Raw genomic sequence first — 22,548 nt, forward strand, 5'->3', positions numbered from 1 at the left:
ACAGTTCACACCGCGTCTTCAGCTGTGTTCCTTGTGGATGACATCCACTGGACAGCCAATTGATAAAAACAGTTATCAGTTCTAAAGTGTTAGGACAATTACAGCTTATTCAAAGAAAACTCAATTAAGGAGGAGTTAGTAAAGCTAGTATTGTTCTTATCGTGTGCAAATTTGAATTACCAGCCTAGAAGGGGACATTATTTTGCTAACAACTAGCTCCCAACTGGTGGCCTGCCTGCCGCCTCCCAGTCCACTTTGAGTTCTAGAGTTTTTATTTTCGTAAACCCTGTTTGCGTATTTTGACTGTATGTTCTTTAAAGATTTCTGCAGAGCTCAAGTGAAGTTGAGAGCCCAGCTGTGCCATCTTCATCAAGACAGCCCCCTGCTCAGCCTCCACGGACAGGATCCGAGTTCCCCAGGCTGGAGGGAGCCCCGGCCACAATGACGCCCAAGCTGGGGCGAGGTGTCTTGGAAGGAGATGATGTTCTCTTTTATGATGAGTCACCACCACCAAGACCAAAACTGAGTGCTTTAGCAGAAGCCAAAAAGGTAACTGGCATCTCTTCTCTTTAGCACTTGAGTTTGCATTCTGTAGAGCAGAGCTGGAGGAAAGACAGACACCTAATAGCTCTTTATTGATCGTGATCATTAGAGTCAGTGTAATTTGAAAACATGGTAGTGTCAACATAATACTAAAAGAAAGTTAGATCTGTTATCTCAACACTTTTTCTTGTCAGGCTACAAGAGGTAGCCTAGAGGAAGATAGTGTTTTATAACCAGAGGCATTGACAGTAGGAAAACAATGCTTGGAATTGTTGAGGTGAGACTGTAAAATGGTGGTTTAAGGAATCCTTTTTTTACGTTTATTTATTTATTTATTTATTTATTTATTTATTTATTTATTTTTTGAGAAGGAGTCTCACTCTGTCACCCAGACTGGAGTGCAGTGGCGCAATCTCGGCTCACTGCAACCTCCTCCTCCCAGATTCAAGCGATTGTCCTGCTTCAGCCTCCCGAGTACCTGGGACTACAGGCGCCTACCACCACGCCCGGCTAATTTTTAGTAGAGACATGGTTTCACCATGTTGGCCAGGCTGGTCTCGAACTCCTGACCTCAAATGATCTGTCCACCTCGGCCTCCCAAAGTACTAGGATTATAGGTGTGAGCCACCATGCCTGGCGGTTTTATTTTTTATTTGTTGAGACAGACTATCCCCCTGTCACCCATGCTAGAGTGCAGTGGTGCAATTATGGTTCACTGCAGCCTCAACCTCCCAGGATCGATTCATCCACCTGCCTCAGCCTCCCAAGTAGTAGCTGGGACTGCAGGCACATGCCACCACGCCTTGGCTAATTTTTGTATTTTTTGTAGAGATGGGGGCCTCCCTTTGCTGCCCAAGCTGGTCTTGCACTCCTGGACTCAAGCAGTCCCACCTCAGCCTCCCAAAGTGCTGGGACTACAGGCATGAGCCACTGTGCCTAACCAAGAATCCTTTAAAAGAAATCTTACACAAAAGTCCAGTCCCATGACAGGTGAAAGCTGAGTTGCTGCGGCTGAAGTAGGGGTAGGGCACCCAGAGCCCCACCTGCCCACTTCCTGAGTGCCCCAATCGAGCCTCTCTCTTCCCTTAAGTTAGCAGCTGCAGCCAAATGAAGGGCAAAGCTTGCTGTATGCCAAAACCTTACCTATAATAATAACAACAGGAATACCTACAATAACCATGGCACATGTCCATATTACTCAGTACTTGTGATATGTGTGTGCCATGTATTTACTATGTTTATTTATTTATTTATATATATATTTTTTGAGATGGAGTCTCGCTCTGTCACCCAGGCTGGAATACAGTAGTCCGATCTCGCCTCACTGCATCCTCTGCCTCCTGGGTTCAATCAATTCTCTTGCCTCAGCCTCCCGAATTGCTGGGATTACAGGTGCCCACCACCATGCCTGACTAATTTTTGTATTTTTAGAAGAGACAGGGTTTCACCATGTTGGCCAGGCTGGTTTCGAACTCCTGACCTCAAGTGATCCACCTGCCTCAGCCTCCCAAAGTGCTGGGATTACAGGCATGAGCCACTGCGCCCGGCCAGGAATGTATTTGCTATGTAAAGATTCATACTTTGCAGATATTATCTTATTTCATCCATACAACCATGACCTTCAAAGGTAGGTCAATGCTATATCATCATTTCCTTCTCTTTTTTTGTGTGTTTGTTTTGAGACAGGGTCTCACTCTGTCTCCCAGGCTGGTGTACAGTGGTGCAATCACAGCTCACTGAAACCTCCATCTCCCTGGGCTCAGGTGATCCTCCCATCTCAGTCCCCTGAGTAGCTGGGACTACAGGCATGCACTACCATGCCCAGCTAATTTTGTACCATGCCCAGATGAAGTCTCACTGTGTTGCTCAGGCTGGTTTTAAACTCCCGAGCTCAAGAAATCCACCTGCTTCAGCCTCCCAAAGTGCTGGGTTTACAATGAGCTACCATGCCAAGCCCCATTTCCATTTTATACTTGAAAAATTAAGTAATTTTCCTTGGGTTACAAGCTAGTCCGTGGCAGAGCTGGCTGGAACTTTATCTTAATTCTCTCTGATTCTAAAACTTCCAAAATGGTGATGTGGCTCCTTTATGGATCTGGAAGCCTGCAGTCTTGCTGATGTCAAACTTGTTATATTTAAATAAACTAAGATTTTATTCATCAACATATAGACCTGTCTCCCATGCTATTATATTCTAGTAATTGTGTTAATAATACTAAGTAAAATTAAGATATGTTCTGCCAATTTCTGTCAGAGAACAGCCAGAATTCACTGGTTACTAATAAAAAAGGGATCCAGGTCTATAAGTGCCTCTGTCATCTTTTAGATCTTTACCTCCCTCTCATTCCCTTTTTTCTAGTTAGCTGCTATCACCAAATTAAGGGCAAAAGGCCAGGTTCTTACAAAAACAAACCCAAACAGCATTAAGAAGAAACAAAAGGACCCTCAGGACATCCTGGAGGTGAAGGAACGTGTAGAAAAAAACACCATGTTTTCTTCTCAAGGTACTGCAGTTTCACAGTTAACAGTGGGAAAGAGAAACTGTTTCTAAGGGAAATATGTTCTAAACCCAAACCAGCACCCAGATATCAAGCAATTACTTCCATTTCCTCCTATATAGAATACCTAAATAGAATTTCTATGGGTGGAACTGATTTTTTTTTTTTTTTTCATGGAGTCTTGCTCTGTTGCCAGGCTAGAGTGCAGTGGCGCAGTCTTGGCTCGCTACAGCCTCTGCCTCCTGGGTTCAAGCGATCCTCCTGCCTCAGCCTCACGAGTAAGTGGGACTACAAGCGCGCGCCACCACGCCCAGCTAATTTTTTGTATTTTTAGTATAGATGGGGTTTCACCATGTTGGCCAGGATGGCCTCGATCTCTTGACCTCATGATCCGCCCGCCTTGACCTCCCAAAGTGCTGGGATTACAGACGTGAGCTGGAACTGATTTTTTTATAATTACATTAAATTGGAATGAAATTGGGCACAATTTGAATACTTGGGAATAGGATTGCTCATTGGATCTTTGTACATATATATATTAGCATAAAGATTTACTTTGACAGAACTAGAATTCCTTTGTTTTAAATTGCCATATCTTTATTTTTAAAACTCTGAAGTTGGCAATATCATTTTAACATAATTGTCAACATTATTTACACTGTTGTTATCTGTTACTATCGTCAGCTGCCTATTTGAAGGTGAAAAAGAGATTCTATTTAGTGGTAAAATCTGCCACCACCCCACATTCTAGGCTCAGCTTCTTGGCTCACCTCTGAGAGCTTTTCCCTGCTGGGACCAGCGGGGGTAGGTCAAGTTTGAAGGGCTGGTAGGCAGAGGAGGAGGGAGTGGGAGGGAGTAGAGTTGATGAGGCGCACTGGCTTTCTGAAATTTCTTGGTCGCTGCTAATGTTTGTTCCTTGTGCCCTAGCTGAGGATGAATTGGAGCCTGCCAGGAAAAAAAGGAGAGAACAACTTGCCTATCTGGAATCTGAGGAATTTCAGAAAATCCTAAAAGCAAAATCAAAACACACAGGCATCCTGAAAGAGGTAAGAGCCCAAAAGCTCAAGGATGGTGTTGATGTCCGATGTCCTTCAAAGCCAAGGTGCTAGCTGTAGGACCAAGAATGTGTTGTTTGTTTTATTTTGTTTTTCTGAGACAGAGTCTCAGTCTGTGGCCCAGGCTGAAGTGCAGTGGCGCCATCTCGGCTCAATGCAAGCTCCGCCTCCCAGGTTCAAGCGATTCTCCTGCCTCAGCCTCCCAAGTAGCTGGGATTACAGGTGCCTGCCACCACACGAAGCAAATTTTTGTGTTTTTAGTAGGGACAGAGTTTCACCGTGTTGGCCAGGCTGATCTCTAACTCCTGACCTCAAGTGATCCTCCAGCCTTGGCCTCCCAAAGTGCTGGGATTACAGGCGTGAGCCACCATGCCCGTACCCAGCCAAGAATCTGTTTTTTACATAAATCTAAAAGTAGGTATATGTCAGTTTGTTTGAGTTTGCTTTGAAGAACAGGAGAATTTCTAATAAATTTTAGCTTTGTCCTTGTCTCTTTACTGAAGAATATCATTTGATTTAACATGACTTAAATAGATATCAATATTATAAAAATGTTTGCATTTGGTTATGGCTGTGAAATTATGTTTAAATGGCTCTACACTGCTGCTATTTTCTGCCTTGCAATATGCAAAAAGAGTTTTCCCATTCCAGTATTTTTATATTGGCATTTCAAATGCTCTAAATCAGTAGTTAACCCCATCACACCCAAGGACCCTTTTTAATAACAAGTATTTTGTATTGCTTCCTTATCTTGAAATAAAATTCATAGATAATATGAATTACCTATACTAGTCATTTCGAAAAAAATCAATAAATATCCTAATGCAAATAAGAAAAAATGAAAAGATTTGTGATAAAGATACAGATTTCATTATGGATTCATAAATGCAGAGGCAGAACTAGCTTAGGGGAAATAATCAAGTCATCAGAGGCTTGGACTTATCAGTGTAAATGAGCCAGAAATGGAGGCTCACATAGGTTTGTGTCTTGGTAAATAGCATGGACCTATTTCTTTGATAATGTAGGGGTTTTGTCAGGGGTTGGAGGGGTGTTCAGACAGGGTCTCCGTATGTTCCCCAAGCTGGTCTTGAACTCCTGGGCTCAAGCAATTCTCATACCTCAGCCTCCTGAGTAGCTAGGGCTAGATAATGTACTTTTGGTGGGGGTTGGGGAGGTTTTGTTTTTTTTGAGACAAGGTCTTTTTCTGTCCCCCATCAGGGCTCACTGCAGCCTCGAACTCCTGGGCTCAAGTGATGTTCCCACCTCAGCCTCCCAAGTAGCTGGGACTACAGGCGCATCACCATGACTGGCTAATTTTTTTTTTTAGAGACAGGGTTTATCTAGTTTTACTCTTGGAATGGTCAACATAGGTTAAAACCATGCACAAATATTGTAGGGTTGTGTAGAAAGCAGTTAGATTCTAGGGTTTAATCAGGTTCCCCATCCACACAGATGTCTCATAGAGCACACAGAAGCCAGGCAGGATGAGAAGCAATCCTTGGTTGTGTCGGTGACTGTCACATGCATTGCAGACAGTGCAGCACCCCGGTCCCTGCCAGCCACAGAGGTAGCAATCATTGCAATGAAAAGGAAAGTGCTCCCACCAATTTTCAAAATATCCCCATTCAGTATCACTACTCTGAATGATCTGTTCTTCCTTTGATTAACAAATAACTAATGAGACAGTTCTGCATCATATCTTTTCACTGGACTTGAAACTCAGGAGAGATGCCAGAGCTGACTGCAGGCTGCAGAGCTGAGCTCCTCGCCTCTGTGGAACCCTTGGCCCCAGGCCCTCCTGTCTGTGGAGCAGCACTAATCCCATCGCTGCACCCACATTCTGCCACAAGCATCTCTGCCCTCAGGGCTGTTCCCTGATGTCCCGTGCACCCAGGAAACTCACCAGTGGGGGCCTGGAATACCTTGTGTATGTGGAGTCTGTATTAGAACAGTAGAAATAACTGCCTTTGGGCACACACTTGACATACTGATACTGTCATGTTAGGAGTGTTTATTTGTATTTGGTGCTTTAAAAGTCACCAAATGGGCCAGGTGCGGTGGCTCATGCCTGTAATCCTAGCACTTTGGGAGGCCAAGGCAGGCAGATCACCTGAGGTCAGGTGTTTGAGACCAGCCTAGCCAACAGGGTGAAACCCCATCTCTACTGAAAATCCAAAAATTTAGCTGGGCATGTGGCGGGCACCTGTAGTCCCTACTACTCAGGAGGCTGGTGCAGGAGAATCACTTGAACCCAGGAGGTAGAGGTTGCAGTAAGGTAGAGATTGCACCACTGCACTCTAGCCTAGGTTACAGCGAGACTCCATCTCAAAAATAAAATAAAATAAAAATAAAAATCACCAAATGCTCTCATGTCCCTTTGTTTTTGCATATTAAGAGCTCGTTTCTATGCATCATCATCTTTTGCTTTGCAGCTCATGAGGTGCTGTCCAGGGCCCTCTCACACTTAGCCTGCCTCTTCCATTCTGTTCTGTTTTGATTATTATCAGCTGAGTCATTTGAATAATCATCGAGTTACTCTTACTGTGCTGCCTGAGTGCATACTGGATTTAGTACCAGGTCTTTCATTATGCCCTGTCATTCCAGGCCGAGGCTGAGATGCAGGAGCGCTACTTTGAGCCACTGGTGAAAAAAGAACAAATGGAAGAAAAGATGAGAAACATCAGAGAAGTGAAGTGCCGTGTCGTGACATGCAAGACGGTGGGTGAAGGTGGGGGCTGCAGCAACCCATGGGCCCTGTGTGGTGCTTTTGTGACTCGGCAGCATGTGGAGAACCTGTGGGATCTGGGGCCCTATCTCGTGATGTGTCAGTTAATTAGGCTGGAAAGCAAAGGGCGCAGGTGGCCCAGGACCCGGCTTCCTGCCTGACCTGGCTGCTGTGCTCTGCTGATGGAGTGTTTGTCGAGGGGATTCTTCTCTCATTTGACCACAGCCCCCAGTTTGGATGGGTCCTAACATCTCTTGCCCTGGACCACTGGGTCCGCGTGGCTCTGACTGCTCTTTCTCAGGTTTTGGCGTATCCTCGCTCAGCGTTCTCAGGCCTTGGGACCGTGGTTGAACCCCCTGGCCTCTCCTGTTATGATCCACCACTGCTTTCCTACTCCTGGCTCAATCTGCTCTGTTGAGTCTCAAGCCAGAGTGTGGATTAGATCATCATCTGTGTTTGCAGAATTTTTATCATAAATCTGTTAGAAAATTCTAAGTCCTCTATTCTTCAACACTGATTAAAAATGGGAAGAAAGGGCTGGGTGTGATGGCTCATGCCTGGAATCCCAGCACTTTTGGATGTCAAGGCAGGAGGATCACTTAAGGCCAGGAATTTGAGACCAACCCGGGCAACATCGTGAGACCCCATCTCAACAAAAAATAAAAAATTAGCCGGTGTGGTGGTGCACACCTGTGGCTCCAGCTACTTGGGAGGCTGAGGCAGGAGGATCACTTGAGCCCAGGAATCCAAAGCTGCAGTGAGCTATGATCACGCCACTGCACCCTAGCCTGGGCAACACAGCGAGATCCTATCTCAAAAAGAAAAAAGACAAGAAAGAAGAAAGCTCTTGCTGAACACTGTTCCTTCCATTACCATTTGTTCCCACTATCCCTGTGTGGCAAATCAGCCTACTTAATAAACATGCAGAAGAGGTGGAAGTGGCATAGCTTACCAAGTGCACTTTTCTCTGTCTTATTCCTTTTAACACTTTAGCTCTCCTATGCATTTGGGGGTCAGCTCCAAATCAGCTACCACCAAAAGTAGGGCTTCCTTGAGAAAGTTTCTGTCTTGGGGCATAAGTAAAGATGATTCTTTTAAACGTAATCTTTGGAAGATTATGTGTCTTTGGAAGACAGGAAACACAAACCCACCATTGCATTTCACCCTAGATGACAGCTCTTACTCTGACACAGCGGTGGACCTGCAGGCGGACTTAGTGGGTTTGTCTCCTGTTGCCACCGTAACAATGATCACAGATGAGGTGGCCTAACACAATGCACATTTATTGTTATTTTATTATGTATTTATTTATTTATTTTTGGAGACAGAGTCTCACTCTGTCGCCCAGGTTGGAGTGCAGTGGCACAGTCTCGGCTCACTGCAACCTCTGCCTCCCTGGTTCAAGCGATTCTCGTGTCTCAGCCTCCCGAGTAGCTGGGATTACAGGCACGCACCACACTGCCTGGCAAATTTTTGTATTTTTAATAGAGATGGGGTTTCACTATGTTGGACATGCTGGTCTGGAACTCCTGACTTCAGATGATCTGCCTGCCTTGGCCTCCCAAAGCGCTGGGATTACAGGCATGAGCCACCATGCCTGGCCTCACAGTGTACATTTATTATCTCTTATGTAGGTCAGAAGTCTGTAGGGCTACAATCAGGGTGTAGCCAGGGCCAGGTTTCCTGCAGACGGGGCTGCAGTAGGGGAGAATCATCTCCTGGCCCAGCTTCTGAGTCACAGTATTCTTGCCTGCCCTCACTTCCTCCATGCAGCCAGCGGCAGCAGGTTGAGCTCTCACCTTGCAGCCCTGAGCTCCTCTTCCACGTTTAAGGGTCCTTGTGATTCCATTGGGCCCACCCAGATCATCTAGGACAATCTCCCTATCCATTAGCAACCTGAATTTCACCTGCAGCCTCGATTCCCCTTCCCTCTGGACCATCACACACTCACAGTTTCGGGGAGTAGGGTGTGCACGTTTTTTAGAGGGCCATCGTCATGCCAGCCTTGGGCTCACCACTCTGCTCTGCACTTTCTGAGGTTGTCCAAGTGTCGAGTTATTGATCAAGCTCAGTGTAATTCCCGGAAGTTACATCGCTCTCTACTGCACATGTTTTGCTACTCACCCACCCCTTCTCATTCTCCTCGGTCCTTCTGAGGATCGGAATTAAAAGTGAATTCCTCAATCTCTCTGTCTTGGCTTTGCTGCTAATAGGGAGTAAGAATAAGCCTATATCCTTTTTATAGATCATAGAAGAGAATGAAAGAGCTGCTGATCAGTCTAAATAGATCCCAAGCCTCAGCATCCTATATAAGCAAGGGGCCGTAATGACTCTAGCACAGACTGACCGAAGCTATTTAGGGGTTTACAGTACGTTTCCTCTCCTGCCCTTGCTGTTGTCATCATGGAACGTGTTACACAATAACAGAAAGTTATTGTGTACTTTGTGCCTGATCAGAAATTGGGACAAACGTGAGAAACGGTGGTATCAGTGTGAGGGAGTCGGGCAATCACACGGGTCACTGTAGCAAGAGGCGAAGGTGGCCCAGTCCCCTAGCAAGGGCCCAGGTAGTGATGAGAGACCAGGTGGTCATGGAGCAGATTGCCCTTACTGCAGCTGAGCATTTGTCCTCAAAGGCTCTTCACCGGCGGTGTGGGTTTTTTGTTGCTCTGTGCAGTGCGCCTATACCCACTTCAAGCTGCTGGAGACCTGCGTCAGTGAGCAGCATGAATACCACTGGCATGATGGTGTGAAGAGGTTTTTCAAATGTCCCTGTGGAAACAGAAGCATCTCCTTGGACAGACTCCCGAACAAGCACTGCAGGTATGAGAATCACCTGGAGCTCTTTGTCCCACGTGGGGATTTTCATCTCTTTTTCCAGAGTCTGTGATTCTGTTCCCTTGGAACGTTGGATGATCATTCCATGCCTTCCTATAGCTCCAGGCTACCCTTGGGACTCAAGCTGTTAACTGAAATCCCTGGAAGGAAGGGACCCTGCCCTTTCACTGCTGTCCCCAACACCTAATATAGTGCCTGGCCCATAAGGGGTCCTCAGAAGTGTTTGTTGAATAAATAAGTGAAGAATCATAGGGTGAGGTGGTAAACATGTGTGTGTTTGTTGGGGGCTAGGATGCACATAATATTTTTTTCCTCTCTCCAAAGAGTTATTTGATCATTTTAAATGTCTTTAGCTTGTGAGGACTCTGCTGTTCTTCAGTATCCAAGGGGCATTGGTCCCAGGACAGCACTCTTCCCCACAGGATACCAAAATCTGTGGATGCTCAAGTCTCTGATATAAAATAGTGTCATATTTGCATATAACATGCACACATCCTTCCATATACTTTAAATCATCTCTAGATTACTTATAATACCTAATACAATGTAAGTGCTGCAAATAGTTGTTATATTGTTTTTTATTGTATTTTTTATTGTGCTTCTCATGTATGTATGTATGTATGTATATATATATATATATATATATATATATATATATATATATATATATATATTAATTTGTATAAATTTAAGGGGCACAAGTGCAATTTTGTTACCTGGATAGTTTGTGTAATAGTAAAGTCGGGGCTTTTAGTGTAGCCATCACCTGAAATAATGTACATTGTACCCATTAAGTAATTTCTCCTCCCTCGCCCCCTCCCACCCTTCGGTGTCTATTATTCCGCCTTCTGTGTCCTTGCATACACATGTTAGCTTCCATTTGTAAGTGGGTACATGCAGTATTTGGCTTTCTGTTTCTGAGTTTTTTCACTTAGGATAATGGCCTCCAGTTCCATCCATGTTGCTGTAAAAGACATGACTTCATTCTTTGATATGGCTGAGCAGTATTCCATTGTGTTTATGTACCACATTTTCTTTATCCAGTCATCTCTTGATGGGCATTTAGGTTGATTCCACGTCTTTGCTATTTTGACTATTACTGTGATAAACATACATGTGCAGAAATCAGTGTACTGATTTCTTGTTCTTTGGGTAGATACCCAGTAGTGGGATTGCTGGATTGAATGGTAGTTTTATTTTTAGTTCTTTGAGAAATCTTCATATGTTTTCTATATGAGGTTGTGCTAATTTGCATTCCCACCAGTGTGAGCATTCCCTTTTCACCACATCCACGCCAGCATCTGGTTATTTTTTGCCTTTTTAATAATAGCCATTCTTACTGGTATAAGATGATAACTCTGATGATGAGTGTTTTTCCGAATACTTTGGACCCACGGATGGGATGCTTGAACCCACAGGTGTGGTAGGCTGACTGTGTGTGTTGTAAGTGTCTTTTGTTTCTCTTTTTACTTTTGGGGGCAACATCAGATACGGAGGCAGAGCTGCCGTGTTTGACAGTCAAGGAACATCCTTCACATAGAATACGACGATGGCACCTCTGGAGCTGGGTTAAGGAACCCTCCCTGGTGCAGCATGTTGCCGTCGCAGGTCCATCCAGTGCCCTCCCTGTTTCATTCACGTGCTCTTCTTACCCATTCTCCCTCCATCCTATCCCTTCGCACCATCCTCTGCCATTCTCCAATGGTTGCTGTGATCCTCTTGTTAATTTTCTTGTGAACGTGTACTGCTTGCTCTGCAGCCGTTTTTATTTCACATAGGTGGTACAGAATTCTGTCTCATTTGATTTTGTTTCTCACTCGGCTCTGTGTTTGTAGGATGCGTCTGTGCTCGCTATGTTCCTCGGCTTCCTAACTGATGACAGTGCCCAAGGCAGCACCCATCACATTTCGCCCACGGGCACCCTATACCCTCCCCACACAGGTCCCCTGGCCTCAGCCCCTCAGTGCTTTCACCACAATGAGTTCTTATTCTTGTCAAGAGCTCTCACTGGGATAGTATCACTGCCTTTTGGTGTGCTTGCTTATTTTCATTTGTTGTTCACTTCCTGGAGTTCATACTTCACTCTCACTTCAGATTCTCCAGGGTCGATCCAGAGATCTGAGGGAGGGAGCCAGGAAGCCGGGCTAGTTCATCACTTTACCAGGAGCTGGCTTGCCAATTTTTCACAATCTAGATTATAATTTTTAAGTAGTTATTTATATATTGATACTTGACTTTTTTCCAAACTAGATGACTAAAAATGTCATTATAGCAAGAGCTTATGGAAAACGTTAGAAAAATTAAAAAAAATTCTGTTTATTAAGTACAGGGCACAAATGGAAGGGCATGATGCCTTTCAGCCTCCAGATGGCACTGTGATTGTAAGAACCATGTTTTTTCTGGACTTTTTGTCAGTTGCTTTTTTTTTTTTCCTTCTTTTTTTGAGACAGGGTCTCACTCTGTCATCCAGGCAGGAGTGCAGTGCCATGATCATAGCCCATTGCAGCCTTGAACTCATGGGCTCAAGCGATCCTTCTGCTTCTGCCTCCTGAGTAGCTGGGACTACAGGTGTGCACCACTACACCCAGCTAATTTTTTTAATTTACTTTTTTTTATAGAGACAAGGTCTCACTATGTTGTCCAGGCTGGTTTCAAACTCCTGGGCTCAAGTGGGCTCAGCTGCCCAAAGTGCTGGGATTGCAGGCCTGAGCCACCATGCTTGGCTAGTTCTTGATCTAGAACAGAAGGCAGCACACATTGCCTGTAAAATGTCAGTGGTGAATATATTAGGCTTTGTGGGCCAGATGATCTGTCACAACCACACGGCTCTGCTGGTGCAGCCTGAAAGCAACCATAGATAATACACAGGCAACTGGGCACGGCTGTGTTCAAATAAAACTTTATTTATAAAAACTGGTGATGTGCTGGATTGGGGTTGTAGTTTGCTGACTCCTAACTAGAATAGTGATTTTTTTTTTCTCACAATTTTATCATTGATCGACATATAGGCTACCAGAGTTCTCTTCATTGATACTGAACCAGTCTCTAGAGGTGGAAGGTGATGGTTGGGAGGTTGTAAGGGCTAAGGCCACTGGCGTGCCACCTTTCAGGGCAGAAATTGTGATATGGTTTGGCTGTGTCCCCACCCAGATCTCATCTTGAATGGTAGCTCCCATAATTCCCACAAGTTGAGAGAGGGACTCAGTGGGAGGTAATTGAATCATGGGGCAGGTCTTTCCCGGGCTGTTCTCATGAAAACAAATAAGTCTCATGAGATCTGATGGTTTTATAAAGGAGAGTTCCCTGCACACACTGTCTTGCCTGCCGCCATGTAAGACATGCCTTTGCTCTTCCTTCGTCTTCCACCATGATTGTGAGGCCTCCCCAGCCATGTGGAACTGAGTCCATTAAACTTCTTTCCTTTATAAATTACCCAGTCTTGGGTATGTCTTTACTAGCAGCATGAGAACAGACTAATGAGAACGAGTAGACTCTAAGCTAGGTAAGGGGAAGGGGAGACAGGCAGAGCATCCCCACCCCACCCCAACCCTCTGAAATCCAAGTAAGCAGGCAGACATACTTCCTTAGCTTTATTATATGTCTTCTCTCTTTCTCTCTCTTTTTCCCAGAGTAAACTTCATAGGAAATAAGTTTTCACCATAGTGTTCACATCCCTTCTCAGGGTGGAAGTCACCCACCATTTTAAAAACTAGAGCAAGAAGGGCTGGACTTGGTGGCTCATGCCTGTAATTCCAGCAGTTTGGGAGGCTGAGGCAGATGGAACACTTGAGCCCAGGAGTTCAAGACCAGCCTGGGCAACATAGTGAGACTCCCCATCTCTACAGAAATTTAAAAATGAGCTGGGCATGGTGGTGTACACCTTTGGTCCCAGCTACTCAAGAGGCTGAGGCAGGAGGATCACTTGATCCCTGAAGATCAAGGCTGCTGCAGTGAGCTGTGATCGCACTACTGCACTCCAGCCTGGGCCACAGAGTGAACCCTGTCTCTAAAAAAAAATAAAAACAAAACAAGAGTCCCTGGGCCCTTTGAATAAAAAGAGAGTAAAGAGGCTGGGCACAGTGGCTCACGCCCGTAATCCCAGCACTTTGGGAGGCTGAGGCAGGCAGATCACTTGTGCCCAGGAGTTTGAGGCCAGCGTGGGCAACATAGCAAAATCCCATCTCTCCAAAAAAAAAAAAAAAAGGAAAAGAAAAGAAAGTGAGTAAAGGCTTTTGGGTTATAAAGAGAAAGGGAGAAGGATGATCCAGACTAGAAAGAAGATTATTCCTTTCTTAGCTCAACCTTTTTGCTCCAAAAAAAAGAGGAGGAAGGGGCCAAACATAGATTATCCTGCACCAGAGGGCCAGCTCCTTAAATCTGAGTCTCATCCCAACCACCATCATTTGTAAAAACCAAGGGTGCATTCATTACCTGCAGTGCGTGGATCCCTGTGGTGCCATCATTATCATTTGAAGCTCCATCTCTGAAGCCTCTAGCTTTGTAAGGACCTACAGACCACTTCCCAAGTCATTGCAGGTTTATTTTTGTCGCATTTGAGCATAACCTCAGATTTGGCATACAATACGAATGTCACCTTGAACAGCTTCTCCTTGAATGGGGGCCTACTCTCCCCAGGTGCAGTGAGCACCGTCGTCTTTACATGAGTGGGCCTACACCACCCTGCTGAGTAAATCCATCTGTTCTGTTTCAGTAACTGTGGCCTCTACAAATGGGAACGGGACGGAATGCTAAAGGTATGCCATTTGCGTACTAATTTTTGACTCCTTTTAGTGACCCATGCTAATAATGTGGAACCATCTCCTATTAAAATATTTTCATTTTTCTAGGAAAAGACTGGTCCAAAGATAGGAGGAGAAACTCTGTTACCAAGAGGAGAAGAACATGCTAAATTTCTGAACAGCCTTAAATAACCCGAACTTCAGACATTTTCCCACAGACTTCCTGGCCTCCTGTGACTCTGGAAAGCAAAGGATTGGCTGTGTATTGTCCATTGATTCCTGATTGACGCCGTCAAAAACAAATGCTTGTTAAGCCCATAAGCTTTGCCTGCTTACTTTCTGCCATTGGGTTGGTTTGATACCACATTTAACATTGACATTTAAGTGGAAAACCAAGTTATCATTGTCTTTTCTAAGCTCAGTGTGGATGATTGCATTACTTCATTCACTGAAGTTTTTGCCCAAAAATTGGAAGGTAAACAGAGAGCTATGTTTCTGTATCTTTTGGTTATAGAGTGTTCACTTCTTTATCATAACAAAATTCTAGTGTTTATACGAACACCCAGAGGCAAAAGAATTTGGCTTAATTCTCACTCCAGGTAAGTAGCTTAACTTCTGGGCTTCAGTTTTCTCATCTGTAAAATCAGGAAGATTGGACTAAGTGATCCTGAAATGTATTTTTTAGCACTGGATTTCTACAAATAATAAAACTTTCCCATCTAGATAATGATGATCACATAGTCTTGATGTACGGACATTAAAAGCCAGATTTCTTCATTCAATTCTGTTATCTCTGTTTTACTCTTTGAAATTGATCAAGCCACTGAATCACTTTGCATTTCAGTTTATATATATAGAGAGAAAGAAGGTGTCTGCTCTTACATTATTGTGGAGCCCTGTGATAGAAATATGTAAAATCTCATATTATTTTTTTTTTAATTTTTTTATTTTTTATGACAGGGTCTCACTATGTCACCCTGGCTGGAGTGCAGTAGTGCGATCGCGGCACACTGCAGCCTTGGCTTCCCTGGGCTCAAGCAGTCCTCCCACCTCAGTCTCCCAAATAGCTAGGACTACAGGCGTGCGTGACCAAGCCCAGCTAATTTTTGCATTTTTTGTAGAGATGGGGTTTTGCCATGTTGCTCAGGCTGGTCTCAAACTCCTGAGCACTAGCAATCCACCCACCTCTGTTTCCAAAAAAAAAAAAAAAATGAAAGGTCAACCCCTATGCAAATTACCACAGCAAAGGTTTCATTCAGGAGATTCTTCCATCTGGGCAACCTGGTTTTCCAAATATCATTTGACCTAAGTGAATGTTGATACTAGCTAAAGATTGGGTAAATTGGTTGAATTATTGTATTGAAGCTTGAGCTGTAGCTAAAAGTAATTTAGGTTTCCCCTAAGATGTTATTATGTTAGGGACATAACACTTTTGGGAGGTTGTTGTGGGAGATGGTTGATTTAGGTTTTCAAAAGCTAGAAATAAAATTTACATGCCTTAGATTTCATAAAATTCTGCTCTAATTGGGTGGAAGGTGCTGTATCTAACTTGTGTTCCTCCTAAGGTTATGTCCTAATAACTATTCTTTTAGGAGTATACTTCTACTTTATAGAAGGTTGCTTTTCTTTTTAATTTTTTCTAACAAAGAAAAGAATAAAGTATTTATTAATAAGAACCAGAAAGCACTTGAAACTGATGTTTTTAATGGCTCATTTAGGGTAGATTTATTTATCTCATTAACTTAAAACAGCTATGTGTATGAAATAGGTCACAACAGAACTTGAACACCAGGTTGGTGTCTGAGCAATCCCTTTCTTATGGGAAAAACAATGTTCTTGTTTGAACAGAGGGTATCATTGCAGTCAGTATTCACGTGTATATTGTTATATAAGTTGTATAATATGCTTGTAAAGGCTGAGGGTGAGCTGTATCTGGATGCCTTTTTACAATTTGATTTTAACTTTTAAAATAAATTTAAAACATAATTGTCACTTCTTAGTTTTGCTCAATCTTGGGGGACTTTGCTTTGAGGTGCTCTGTGCATGTGCTTTCTTAGCATATTTGGGGATGAGACGCGGTCGGTAGGGGTGGGGTAGGGAAACTTGTTATTTTATTTTACTTATTTTTTTGAGACAGAGTCTTGCTCTGTCACCCAGGCTGGAGTGCAGTGGCGCAATCTTGGCTCACTGCAACCTCCACCTCGTGGGCTCAAGCAATCCTCCCACTTCAGCCTCCCGAGCAGCTGGGATTACAGGTGGGCGCCACCGTGCCTGGCTAATTTTTGTATTTTTAGTAGAGAAGGGGTTTCACCATGTTGCCCAGGCTGGTCTCAAACTCCTGGCCTCAAGTGATCCACCTGCCTCAGCCTCCCAAAGTGCTGGGATTACAGGCATGAGCCACTGTGCCCAGCCTAATCCTACCTTCCTTATCAACCTTTATGAAATGCTTTCATGCAAATCCAACATATGTGTTTTATTTTTCTTAACCTGTCATTGGTAGCGTAGGGATTAAATGTGTAATCACAGGCCACTGGAACAGGTAAGTACACAGTGATCTGAACTAGCAAACAAAAACAACCGTGTCCTTCAAGGAGAACCTGGTTGATCTAAAGTTAATAATCTTCACAATAGATTTTTTTTTTCTTTTTACTGTGCCTTTTTCTGTTTAGAGGAAATAAATGGCTTTCTAAAGAAAATCATCTTTGTCTCGAGTTTCGTTAAAATAAATTTTCCCTTTCCAAACATCAAAAGGAAATCTGAAGTATTTTAGATACCAACCATCCTGAATAGCAAATGAGGAACTTCTGAATAATGGGTGTGGAATTTTCCCCAAAGGGAACTTCAACATTCAAAGCTTCAGGCGGACTGATGGATAACAAACTTGACAGGAAGAGATCGCATGGATTGGGTTTCTGTGTAGAAACTGGTGATGACAGAAGTAAAGCTTGATGTTTGTAGCAGGTGAAATCATACCTAATGACATTTTAGAAAATCTGGAGCACAAATCTATGTGCGTAAGTATATCTCTAGTAGCAACCCATTAGGTGTAAAATAGACTTCTCTGATCCCATGGCTAGAGATTTGGAAATAATACAGCTTTCAAGAATGATGGGTGAAATCTGGCTGGGCGTGGTGGCTCATGCCTGTAATCCCAGCACTTTGGGAGGCTAAGGCGGGTGGATCACCTGAGGTCAGGAACTGGAGACCAGCCTGGCCAACGTGGTGAAACCCCGTCTCTACTAAACATGCAAAAATTAGCTGGGCATGGTAATGCACACCTGTAAGTTGGCTAAGTAATTTGGAAATAAGATCTGAAACAGAATTGGAACCAAATCTGTGGGAATGTTGCTTGACCAAGACTTCTATGGTAGGTTTTTGGTTTTTTCGGAGTCTCACTCTGTTGCCCAGGCTGGAGTGCAGTGGTGTGATCTCGGTTCACTGCAACCTCCGCCTCCCAGGTTCAAGCAATCCTCCTGCCTCATCCCCCCTAGTAGCTGGGATTACAGGCACGTGTATAGTGATATTTTTAAAATCAACTGTGTTAAAGTATAAATTTCTTACAGTAAAAGGCGCATATCTTAGGTGTGCAGTCAGCTGCATTTAGACAAATGTATACATCTGTGTAGCCACACCACAAGCAAGATACGAGACACTGCCATCATCCCAAAAGGCCTGTACCTCTTCCCAGCCCCAGCCCCAACCCATCAGGCATCTATTTTCTGTCACTATTGTGTAGATTTGTCTTTCCTAGAATTTCATATACACAGTCATACAGGACACACTTTGGCTTCTTTCACTGGGCATAATATTTGGCAATTCATGTTGCATGGATCCATGGTTTATTGTGTTGTATGAATATGCCCCAGAATTTATTCACCTGTTGGTGGGCATTTGGGTTGGATTTCCAGTTTGGGGGTGTCCTGAATAAAGCTGCTATAAATATTCAGGTATAAGTCTTTCTGTGGCTATGTTTTTGTTTCTCTTGGGTAAATACCTAGGAATGGAATTTCTAGGTTATGTGTTAAGTATATGTTAGCTTTGTAAGAAACTGCCAAACTATTTTCCAACATGGTTGTACCATTTTTCGCACTAACTAGTAATGTACGAGAGTTCCATTTACCCAACTTCCTCACCAATACCTTTTTCATTTTAGCCACGCTGATAGGGTCTGTGGGACAGACCCAGGCTGAGCGATGGATGAAAGGAGTACTCAGACACAGGTATGCAGTATAAGAGCAGCTAGGGGGCTGTGCGGCTCTAGGGGCCAAAGTGCAGCAGCAAGAAGCTGGAGCTGCTTGCTTTTATTCAGTGCAGGCATAATGCAGAAAGCCTGGAGCAAACACAGTCTGCAGGTAATTAGCATTTACTGTTCCCCTTTCAAGGAACGTTTGTGCGCCTGATCAAAGGTGGTCAACATAAGTAAACAAGCCTGTTTAAGATAAATTCCCCTACACTCCCTTGTACCTACTCCTTGCCCTCTGCCTTAGGGTTAGAGAACAGCTGCCTTCAGCTATTCTCCCCCAAAGCTTTGCAGAGCCTTCTGACCTTTCCGAAAGCCTGTTTCTTTCCCTGTAGTTTCTCCCACCACTCTGACTGATCTCCTACAGATAGATGTGTAGTAGAATCTCATTGTGATTTTAATTTGCATTTCCCTGATGACCAATAGTATTGAGTATCTTTTCACGTGCTATTGACCATTTGATGTCTTTTTTGGTAAACTGTAACATGTTTTTCTGTAATTTGGGAATAGGAATACCTCCTTTTTTTGGACTTTGCAGATACTGTGATTTTTAACCCTGCATCAAGCAAGCCTGTTGGCACCATTTTCCCAGCAACATGTGCTCACATTGTGTAGCTGTCACATACTGGTAATTTTCACAATGTTTCAAACTTTTTCATTATTATTATATCTGTTATGGTGATCTGTGATCAATGATCTTTGATGTTACTATTGTAATTGTTTTGGGGTGCCAGGAACTGTGCCCATATAAGTAGCAAACTGAATCGATAAGTGTGTGTGCTGACTGTTCCATCAACCAACCATTCCCCCATTTCTCTCCCCTCCTCCTATCTCCCTATTGCCTGAGACACAACAATATTGAAATTAGTCCAATTAATAACCCTACAATGGCCTCTAGGTGTTCAAGTGAGAGAGTCCTGCATCTCTCACTTTAAATCAAAATCTGAAAGTGATTAAGTGTGGTCAGGAAGGCACACTGAAAGCTGAGATAGGCTGAAAGCCACACCTCTTGTACCAGTTAGCCAAGTTGTGAATGCAAAGGAAAAGTTCTTGAAGGAAATTAAAAGTTATTCTAGTGAACTCACAAATGATCAGAAAGTCAAACAGTCTTATTGCTCATATGGAGAAAGTTTTGATGATTTGAGTGGAAAACAAGGCCCTAACTTTCTTCAATTCTGTGAAGGCTAAGAGAGGTGAGGAAGCTACAGAAGAAAAGTTGGACGCTAGCAGAGGTTGGTTCATGAGATTTGATGAAGATGCTGTCCCCATAATATAAAAGTGCAAGGTGAACAGTAAGTGTAATATAGAAGCTGCAGCAAATTATTCAGAAGATCTATCTAAGATTATTGATCATGGTGGCTACAGCAAACATTTATTTATTTATTTTGAGACTGAGTCTTGCTCTGTCACCCAGGCTAGAGTGCTGAGTGGTGCAATCTCAGCTGTGTGCAACCCCTGCCTCCCAGGCTCAAGTGATTCTCCTGCCTCAGCCTCCCAAGTGGCTGGGACTACAGGTGCACACCACCACGCCCGGCTAATCTTTTGTATTTTTAGTAGGGATGGGGTTTCACCATGTTGGCCAGGATGGTCTCAAACTCCTGACCTCAGGCGTTCCACCTGCCTCGGCCTCCCAAAATGCTGGGTGCCTGGCCCACTAAACGGATTTTTAATGTATACAAAACAGCCTTCTGTTGGAAGAAGATGCCATCTAGGACTTTGATAGCTAAAAAGAAGTCAATGCCTGTTTTCAAAGGACAGGCTGACTCTTCTGTTAGAGACTAAGACCACTGGTGACTATAAGTTGAAGTCAATTCTCATTTATTATTCCCCAAATCCTAGAACCCGTAAGAAGATTTACGCTAAATCTACTCTGTGCTCTATAAATGGAAAAGTAAAGCCTGGATTGGAGCACATCTATCTACAGCATGGTTTATGGAATACATTAAGCCCACTGTAGAGACCTCTTGCTCAGAAAAAGATTCCTTTCAAAATATGACTGCTTGTTGACAATACACCTGGTCATCCAAGAGCTCTGACAGAGATGTACAAAGAGATTAATGTTTTCATGCCTGCTAACACAACCTCCATTCTGCAACCCATGGATCGAGAAGTCATTTCGACTTTCAAGTCTTATTTTTATGACTTTTTTTATTTATTCTTTTATTTTTAGATGGAGTCTTGCTCTGTCACCCAGGCTGGAGTGCAGTGGCGCGATTTCAGCTCACTACAACCTCTGCCTCCCAGGTTCAAGTGATTCTCTTACCTCAGCCTCCCGAGTAGCTGGGATTACAGACACCCACTGACACTCCCAGCTAATTTTTGTGTTTTTAGTAGAGACTGTGTTTCACCGTGTTAGTCAGACTGGTCTGGAACTCCCGACCTCAGGTGATCCACCTGCCTCGGCCCCCAGAGTGTTGGGATTACAGGTGTGAGCCACCACACCCCGGCCACATCTGTAGTGACTTTCTAAAGGACATGCTACACTATTTTTTCAGTAATGATTTCAGGATACCATTCTAATTGTGTAAATCACTTTAGTTTAAAAGTTCTGTCTCTAGCAGTTGAGGGATTTGTCCATAAGCAAATTTGTTAAATATGAATATTCTAGTCTACAACTGATGGTTTTGATATACTCTGTGATCTTACAATGTACTAACACTTTTTTTTTTTTTGAGACGGAGTCTCGCTCTGTCGCCCAGGCCGGACTGCGGACTGCAGTGGCGCAATCTCGGCTCACTGCAAGCTCCGCTTCCCGGGTTCACGCCATTCTCCTGCCTCAGCCTCCCGAGTAGCTGGGACTACAGGCGCCCGCCACTGTGCCCGGCTAGTTTTTTGTATTTTTAGTAGAGACGGGGTTTCACCTTGTTAGCCAGGATGGTCTCGATCTCCTGACCTCATGATCCACCCGCCTCGGCCTCCCAAAGTGCTGGGATTACAGGCGTGAGCCACCGCGCCCGGCCTATACTAACACTTTTTAAAAAGTTTTGGCACTTTCCATATTATCGTGGCTTTTGTAATTAAAAATAGTTTGAATACACATGGTTTAAAATGTTTAAAGGACAGAGGAATATAACACAAAACATAAATATAGAGTATCTTGCCCCTCAGTGCCCTTCTGTTCCGTACTGAGTGCATGAAAAATTACAATTTAGAACATGACCTAATAAAATCGTAAGTTAGTACTCCAGACCTCGGTGCCTCGGAGGAATGGGATCATCATTTTTAATTCTGCAAGTCTTTAACTTGGGGGTTTACACACTAAATGATCCAGACTCACTAGTGTGTTATTTGAGACTCAAAAGTATTATTAGAGTGTCTAAACTAATGAGACATTATCTAGAAAAATGTTCACCTTTGTTTGCATGTGAAATCAGGGTTCTTTTCAAACACATCTTCAAACACTGCCATTCCTGTAGGAAGTTTTTTTTTTTTTTTTGGAAAGTTTTACAAAAACTGCTTAACTGTAAATTAACTATACAGATTTTTATTCGTGGTAGAAAGTTGGTTTAATAGGTAAACCAACTGGTATTAAACAAAGCATGGCATCCAACCAGGAGGACAGTTTTGTGTGAATACAGCGCAACCTTCCTGGTGTCGCTGGCTGAACAGCCTTCAGGGCTGACGCAGGATCTGAGCTAGCAGCAGGCTGAGCTTGCACTCCTGCCCAAAAACATATCACTGGTCAAAAATAAATTCTAAAGTTTTTTAAAAAAAATAAAAATGGTCAGCACAGTGTTCCTGGCGGAAAAATAAATAAATAATAAATAGAAAAAAGTTTATATACTTAGATGTATACAGATCACTCAAAGGAAACTCAAGACAATGGTGATAATGGTTTCTTTCAGGAGACCCAGGAGGGACTACCTTTCTGCGTATTCCTTTCTGTTCTTTAAAAATGTTAAACCATGGG

The 22,548-nt window shown here is 43.5% G+C and overlaps 1 protein-coding gene across 4 annotated transcripts in view; it reads left to right on the top strand.

The window, feature by feature from the left end:
* The window catches only part of MCM10 (minichromosome maintenance 10 replication initiation factor), a 49,553-nt gene extending 33,163 nt beyond the window's left edge, over positions 1–16,390 (top strand). For all 4 annotated transcript variants that reach the window (XM_011519538.3, XM_047425437.1, NM_182751.3 and 1 more), the window contains exons 14-20: positions 321–549; positions 2,903–3,047; positions 3,969–4,087; positions 6,701–6,814; positions 9,499–9,644; positions 14,371–14,413; positions 14,507–16,390. In XM_011519538.3, the coding sequence (XP_011517840.1) occupies positions 321–549; positions 2,903–3,047; positions 3,969–4,087; positions 6,701–6,814; positions 9,499–9,644; positions 14,371–14,413; positions 14,507–14,590 (880 nt within the window). In that variant the 3' untranslated portion in view covers positions 14,591–16,390. The remainder of the gene's footprint in view (positions 1–320; positions 550–2,902; positions 3,048–3,968; positions 4,088–6,700; positions 6,815–9,498; positions 9,645–14,370; positions 14,414–14,506) is intronic.

The sequence above is a fragment of the Homo sapiens genome, chromosome 10 (genome assembly GCF_000001405.40).
Source record: "Homo sapiens chromosome 10, GRCh38.p14 Primary Assembly".
Taxonomy (NCBI): domain Eukaryota; kingdom Metazoa; phylum Chordata; class Mammalia; order Primates; family Hominidae; genus Homo; species Homo sapiens.